The 8358-nt window shown below is 38.7% G+C and overlaps 1 annotated feature.

Annotated features, from left to right (window-relative positions):
• Positions 2182–2723: an enhancer, noted in NCBI's record as "NANOG hESC enhancer chrX:30517192-30517733 (GRCh37/hg19 assembly coordinates)". NCBI's record gives its function as "activates a minimal SCP1, AML or CMV promoter by ChIP-STARR-seq in naive H9 embryonic stem cells {active_cell/tissue: H9 hESC(naive)}" and the evidence as "EXISTENCE:reporter gene assay evidence [ECO:0000049][PMID:30033119]".

Genomic DNA, 8358 nt, shown 5'->3' with positions numbered 1-8358 from the left:
AATGAATTGCAGCCTTTGGAAGACCTACCAGGTGGATGAATATGGTATATTCTACCCAGTGGATGAGTAGAATACAATTCTACTTAATAAATTGAAGCCTTTGGAAGACCTGCCAGGTGGATGAGTATGGCATATTTTACCCGGTCTTATAGATTGCTCTAGTGCCTATTGCCATGTGAGTTTCTCATTCACACACTTTTCATTAACCATGTTTAGGAATAATCAGTTGCTTAATCTTATTAGACCAGTGGTTTTAAATATATAATTCAGCTAAAATGGGATCTAGTGAGGGTACATGAATCTCCTCAAATTGTGTAAGAAATTGTGTGCATGCCCACTTTTTTACGGTGTGATTTAACCTACCAATGGATAGCCAATATTCATTCTTCTTGTTACTACTTACAAGAATTTTATTCTACCTGGAAGCGTGCTTGACCAAATAGTGCATGTGTCTATTTTCCCACTTATTTTTTTATCTGGGCTTGTCCAATAAAACCTAAGTGTCCATTGTTGGTGGGACTTTGGATCTCCATAAGAAGGATCAGACAGCAGGCATATGTGTCTTTGTCTTTTCATCTTTCCATTAGTTCTTCTGTCTATTGCTTGGAATGCAGATGTGATGGCTGGAGCTTTGGCAGTCATTTTGGGTCTTTTAAAATGTTAAGTAAATACACTATTACAAAAATTTTGTATTGAGGTAAAATTTACATACAGTGACATATTGAGATCCTAAATATACTGGTCAATCAGTTGTGACAAGTATGTATTAAGACTCACAATATTTCCATCATCTCAGAAAGATCTCTCATTACTGGAATGATGGAAATATTGTGTGATTGACCCTTGGTCAGTCTCTGTATCCTGACTAAGAAGCAGCCATTACTCTGATTTGTATCACCATAGGTTAATTTCGTCCATATAGAATTTCACATAAATGGATTATATTGTGTGTACTCATTTTTGCATCTGGATCCTTACACTTAGGATACTATTTCTGACAACCACCTATGTTGTTGCATGTTAATTCCTTTTTTATTGCTGAGTACTATCCCATGATATGAATATACCACAGTTTGTTCATATATCTTCCTGTTGATAAACATCTGGGATGTTTCCAGTGTTGGGCTATTATAAATAAAGCTGCTGTGACATGCATGTACAAGTCTTTATTTACGGTTCTCATTTATTTGGGGATGTAATTGCTGAGTATATATAGATAACTATTTCAAAAACTGCCAAACATTTTTCCAAAGTGTCTGTAGAATTTTACATTCCCACCAGCAATGTCCTTGCTAACATTTGGTGTTGCCATTATTCTTTATTTTAGTCATTCTAGTGGGTATGTAGCAATATCTGATTGAATTTTTAATTTGCGATTCCTGATGATTATTGGATGTTGATTTCCATATGATTATTGGGCATTGCATTTTTTGTTTTTTGAGATGGGGTTTTGCTCTTGTTGCCCAGGCTGGAGTGGAATGGCATGATCTCGGCTCACCGCAACGTCTGCTTCCCGGGTGCAAGCGATTCTCCTGTCTCAGCCTCCTGAGTAGCTAGGATTACAGGCATGCACCACCACGCCCGGTTAATTTTTGTGTTTTTAGTAGAGATGGGTTTCTCCATGTTGGTCAGGCTGGTCTCGAACTCCCAACCTCAGGTGATCCACCTGCCTCGGCCTCCCAAAATGCTCGGATTATAGGCGTGAGCCACCACGCCCAGCCCATGGACATTGTATTTTTAATGTAATTTCCGAGTAGAGGGCAAGGCCTTCAAGGGACACATGATGGTTAATTTTATATGTCAAGTTAACTGGGCTAAGGCACAGCCAGGGAGCTGGTAAAACATTACTTCTGAGTGTCTCTGTGAAGGGTATTCTGGAAGAAATTAGCATTTGAATCTGTACACTGAGTAAAGAAGACCTACCATGACTAATGTGGGCAGGCATCTTCCGATCCTTTGAGTGCCCCAATAGAACAAAAAGGTGGAGGAAAGGTGAATGCAGCCTCTCTGAGCTGGGACACACATCGTCTCCTGGCCTCAGATATTGGAGCTCCTGGTTCTGAAGCCTTCAGATTTGAACTGATTGTTACATCATCACTGGCTTCTGTTAGTTTGAGACTCAAACTGAACTACACCACCAGCTTTCCAGGTTCTCCAGGTTACACAGCGTAGATCATGGAACTTCTCAGCTTCCATAACTGTGTGAACCCATTCCTATAATCTCTCTCTCTGTGTGTGTGTGTGTGTGTGTGTGTGTGTGTGTGTGTGTGTGTGTGTGTGTTATCTTTTAGGTTCTATTTCTCAAGAGGGAGAATGCTGACAAATATAGACACATTCCAAGAACCATAATGCTCCTTGAAACCACTTTTAAAGGACAATGGGTATTGTTAACTATTTAATGGGGCTTGAATACTTTGAGCAAGAATTGAATACTCTGGAGAATATTGGGCTCTTTGAAAGATTTGTAGTACAAAGGGAAAAAGAAAAGAGACCTGGGGCTACTGGAGTAAAGAAATGAGAATTTCAATGGGGGCTTTAATTGAGTTTTTCTGTGAACTGTGTGATGCAAACCCTCTTTGCCATTTATCATAAAAATGTCAAAAAAAAAGCTACATTATTTATTTGTGCAGGAGTGGGCAAACTACAGCTTTCGGGCCAAATCTGTGCCAACATCTTTTTTGTGAATAAAATTTTATTGAAACACTGCCACACTCATTCGTTTACATGTTGTCTGTGGCTGCTTTCATGTTACAACTGCAAGTTGAGTAGCTGCAGCAGAGACCATATTGCCTGCAAAGCTGAAAGTGTTTACTATCTGGACCTTTAGAGAAAAAAATTCTCAACCTTTGAACTACTAAACTGGGGCTGTTTGGGGAAAGAGAAGCTGCAATGAAGTGCTGAATACTAGGTCAAAGTGGGAGGAGTAATCATCTGGGAGGTTTGATCCCCTGTGTTTTAACCCTAGGAAGGACACTGGTAGATTCTCTTGTCTCAGCAGCAAAGTATTTGAAGATATATCAAGTGATGTTGCCAGGTAACGATTGAGCAGTTATTGAGCTGCCTCTTTCCTCCTCCTCCTCCTCCTCTTCTTCTTCTTCTTCTTCTTCTGATTGAGCAGGTATTGAGCTGCCTCTTTCTTCTTCTTTCTTCCTTCTCCTTCTCCTTCTTCCTCTTCTCATCCTTCTTCCTTTTCCTCTTCTCCTCCTCCTCCTTCTCCTCTTTCTCTTTCTCCTCCTCCTTCTTCTTCTCTTCCTCCTCCTTTTTTTTTCCTCTTCTTCTTTGCTACTGCGCTTGGCTATACAAAATAATTTAGATTCACATAGTCCTTACCTCCTAAGCTAGATGACATTGATTTTAGGGACATGAAAAATCACATGACCAACAAAAAAAGGATGCTAAACCATAGCTGGTATTGAAATATTTTCATAGACTATTTAATTCCCCTTTCTCTGACTTCATGTTAACAAAGCAATTTTTTAAACAAATCCAATTCCTAGAATCCAATCATGGATTAAAGAGCAAACACAAATATATGCTCTTTGATCAACTATAGCTCCCTCTATGAAACAAAAACATTGACTTCTTGATTCAAATTGGTTTCATGTGACTTTGGTGTGCACTATTTTCTTTGGGTTTTATAACTCTTAAGTAACCTAACCAGTAAATACTGAAATTTAAGAAAGGTCCCATGGACTCTCAGAAAGACTATAGCGCTGAGGTCAAATGGGACAGGGTTTGAATCTTTGCAAAGTTTACTAGTTTTGTGACTGGGAGTGACTTATTTCATCTCTCTGAGCCTCACCACTATGGTTTGCTCTGTTAATGGAAGTAATATATTGAAACCCTGAGCCCAGTGCCAGAATAGAATAAGTGCTTTATAAATAAAGTGCCCTTCACCATCTTCTGCATGTAGGGCTGAGAGCTCAGACTTTCAACAACGGTGCTATGGGCTGAATTATGTCCCTTCAAAATTTGTGTGTTGAAGCTCTGACCTCCAATATGATGGTATTTGGAGATGGGGCCTTTGAAAGGTAATTGGCTTAGATGAGATCAAGAGTGAGGGCCCTCCTGATAGCATTAGTGTTCTTTTAAGGAGAAACACCAGAGAGCTCACTTTCTCTCTATCTGCATGCCCAAAGAAGAGACCACGTGAGTGCACTGCAAGATGGCAGCCACCTGTAAGTCAAGAGAAGAGGACTCAGAATAAAAATAATCTTGTCAGCATCCTGGTTTAATCTTGGACTTTTCAGCCTCCAGAATTATGAGAAATAAATGTCTGTTGTTCATAAGCTACCCAGTCTATGGCATTTTGTTATGGCAGCCCAAACTAAGATGAACAGTAACCCAATTAAGCCTGGTTTTGAAATGCTTTCCCAATCCCCATTTATCTCCATTCCAAAGGATTTTATGGAGGATGTGGCCATTTAAGGAGCTATCCTAATAATCTGTACTTTTGCATTTCTGAAAGACAGAACACTCACCAGCCATTCACTTGCTTGTCATTCTCTACTGACTTATTATTTTCTTTATCTTTTGAGCCATTTCAAGCCATTAGATGCTTTAAGTTTCAAGGAGTTAAGCTGAGTCTGTGGTGTGTGGGTAGAAACTTCCAAACCGTATTTTACTGAGAGCCCAACTAAAGATGAAAGCAGGGTTTGGGCTAAGGATATAATGGGTTGAGAGGGTTATGTGGGCCCTATTTTTGTGGGAAAAGTTTAGGAATTCTAATTAAGAATCAGAATGACAGACTCTCTGATTCCAAAGCTCATAGTCCCTAATAACTATGTGCTGCTATTTTGTCAATAAATACCATCCTGTTCAATGGCCAGGCCAGGAAATTTCTGGTATGATTGATTGAATATAGGCTTTCAAAATCTCAGAGTGCCAGCTGTGACTATATTTAATGTTTACGTTCAATGAAAAAGCTTTGTTTAGGTATGTTTTGCTTTCTTTTTTCTTTTTCATTTAATCAGGGACTAGATATAACATGTCTGCCTGGCCAATATGATAGAGGTTAACTGAGATAACTCTAAAATTTGCCACAAAACTCTGATTATCTATCAGTCAACAAGTTACATGGAAACATATTTTTTGTTTATATCTAAATGATTCTTTTCAATTATGCAGAAATTTGCTCCTGCTCTTGCATTAGAAAAATCATATGAAGCACAGGAGGGTTGGATGTTAGAATGTGGCTTCCCCATTTTGGTCCTACTATGCATTGAAATAAGATTTGAAATATTTATTTGCTGCTTTTAAAAAATTTTTCTTCTTTACTATAGTGTGCTAAGCGTGCTAACATCTGGTGGAGGAGAAGCCTATAAACATTAAACATTGTCAGTCTTCTGGAGAGCAGCAAGTTTCCCTAGAAGGACTAGGAAATTGATCGTAATTCCACCCATTGGTTGTAAACTCCACTAAGACAGGGACTTTGCCCTGTTTACCTGCTTACTGATTGATCCCAATATCTAGAGCAATGCTTGCAGACCGTGGTTACTCAGTAAGCATTTATAAATAAAGAATAAATAGTGGGCTAGGTGCGGTGGCTCATGCCTGTAATCCCAGTACTTTGGGAGGCCGAGGTGGGTGGATCACTTGAGGTCAGGAGTTTGAGACCAGCCTGGACAACATGGTGAAACCCCGTCTCTACTAAAAATACAAAAATAAGCCAGGTGTGGTGGTGAGTGCCTGTAATCCCAGCTACTTGGGAGGCCAAGTCAGGAGAATCATTTGAACCTGGGAGGCAGAGTTTGCAGTGAGCTGACATTGTGCCATTGTGCTACTGCACTCCAGCCTGGGCGACAGAGTAAGACTCCATCTAAAAAAAAAAAAAAAGAATGAATAGTGAAAGAAAGCACATGAATTTGTTTGGGGAAAAATATTTTTTCTAACATTAAATTCTAGAAAAACATTTTAAGGATATTTTTCTATTTTTTTAAATAAAAGGAATTGAGCATACAAATTACTGCTTTTTACATGGCCAGAAGAAAGCTGGATACAACATTAAAGAAAGAAGATACAACATTAAAATCCTTTAATGCACTGAAAATATATCTAGGAAACTGAACAGGGTTGGCTTCAAGGGCACGAGACCCATGTGACTGCACAAGGCCCTGTTTTCAGAAGGGCTTTGTTTAATGCTCTGCTGTTGCTATTTTGAAACTGTTAATCATTTTTGAACATGGGGCCTCACTGTTTCATTTTACATTGGGCCCTGCAAATTATGTAGCTAGTCCTAGAACTGAGCTACTACATTCCAAGGCCATTCCATACTAACTTGATATTAAGAGCAGAGTTTAGAGGAGCTAAAAAATATAGCACATCACTAACAAGTTCCTTCGTCCCAGTTTTTCAATTATCTGTTGTCTAAACTGTACCTTGGGCAAGAACAGGTGGTTATCAATTTAAAATTGAACTTTGTAAAGAGTGTGTAAAAACTGCTGATCGAAGATACCAGCTGTGTTAGCAAAATTAATATTTTGTCATGAAAATGAAGGAGCCTAACTTGATTTCTGCCTTAGACAGAAGGGCCACTTCAGAGTAACTGATGTCCTAGCCAGATCTTACAAAACAAGTGGATACATGGCAAAAGGTGGCTGATTTTTGTCATTGTCATCTTTGTCATCTATCAGGATTTCATTTTGTGTAATATGGGGCGATATTTTATGATGGATTGAGAATTCCAGGGCTTCATACAGATCTTGTGCTGTATCCCTACTTAATTTCTAGGTTGTCCTGTATAGGGGGTAAGGCTGCCAACCACTGAGACTGAGGTGGGTAGCACATTTGAACCATGGGGAGGTCAGTGACCTGTGGTGATGTGACTTCACTCTGAGCCTCAGTTTCCTCATCTACAAAATAAGAATAGGAGCAGCTACTACACAAGTTTGTTAAGAGGATTATGTAAATAAGATATGTAAGTATGTATGTAAAGTTTTGGATAGGAAAGTAGGTGCTCAATAAACACGAATCTTCTTCCCCATCTATCTTTTCTGATGTATCATTTCTCATAGTGCTTTTTCTTGCATAACATTATGTTTTCTAATTTTTTTCCTGCTGAAATTAAAGCCAATATGTTTCATTTTAATATTTAGCAACTTTATATGTTCTGGAAATTTTGATCAATGTAATTTTCATTTGAATCACATAAATTTCCTCATGAATTACTCTTTTAGCATTCTTGTATAGAGAATAGAGTCAGACTTATTTGGTTTACAGCCTATTCGTGCTACTTACTAGTTGTGTGATTTTGAGCAAGTCACTTAACTTTTCTGTTCCCATATGGATAATAACTGTCTCATCTTCATACAGTTAATTGTGAGGTTATATGAGTTAACACTAAAGAATATAACACATGTATATAATACATATATATTTTTTAGAACAGTGTCTGGCATAGAGTAAGCTCTCAGTAAATATCAGCTATTATTTTTATAGTAGTTAATAAGAAAATCTAAGTCTAAAATTTTCACCCTCATATGGATGGTGTTATGAATTGATTGTTTATGTCTCCTCCAAATTCCTATGTTGAAATCTTAATTCCCAATTTAATTGTATTAGGTCATGGGGCCTTCGAAAGAGGATTAGGTCATGAGGGCAGAACCCTTATAAATGGGATCACTGCCCTTATAAAAAGATATGAGAAAGCTTCCTTCCTCTGTTACTACTCTCGCCATATGAGAATACAATGAAAACATGGTTATCCGCAAACCTGGAAGTGGGCCCTTACCAGACACCAGATCTGCTAGTACCTTGATCTTGGACTATCCAGCTCCAGAACTGTGAGAAATAAATGTTTGTTGTTCAAATCATCCCGTCTATTGTAATTTGTTATGACAACTTCAACTAAAGCAGATGCTTTTGTTTCTCATGTATTAGTAAATTTTCCAGGTATTTAAATAATTTAGTGTCAAGAAGGCATCATCAAACTGGGTTATTTGAGGATAGTTTAATAAATAAATATATAAACGAATGGTCAAAGTGTAAAATCACAGAGGATTGGCATACTCCAGGGTGGTAGGTACTGAATGTTGTTATCACCTCAGGGCTTAAGGTAATAAGGAGGAGGGAAATGTTATTGGGAGGTGGAGTCCGAGAAGGCAGTGTGGAGGGGGTGGAAGGGTAGTAGAAGCTGTAGCTTTTGATGGAGGAAAGCAGCCAACATTAGGTGACTGTGCAGAGAGGGAGCTGGAGGATTCAATACTCTAGCCTCAACTCCCTCCCACCTAACCTGCCAGTGCTCCTAGTGGCCAAATGGAGCCTATAACTAGCAAAGCCCACTGGTGCAGTCCAACTAGGGTAGCCTTCTGGCACACAGCAAGGGTGGGTGAGAGGGACAAATGTACAGTTATCATGCTA

This window comes from Homo sapiens, chromosome X (assembly GCF_000001405.40).
Source record: "Homo sapiens chromosome X, GRCh38.p14 Primary Assembly".
NCBI classification, from domain to species: domain Eukaryota; kingdom Metazoa; phylum Chordata; class Mammalia; order Primates; family Hominidae; genus Homo; species Homo sapiens.
Note: the sequence above shows the minus strand (reverse complement) of the source record. Positions and strands in the feature narration are given on the sequence as shown.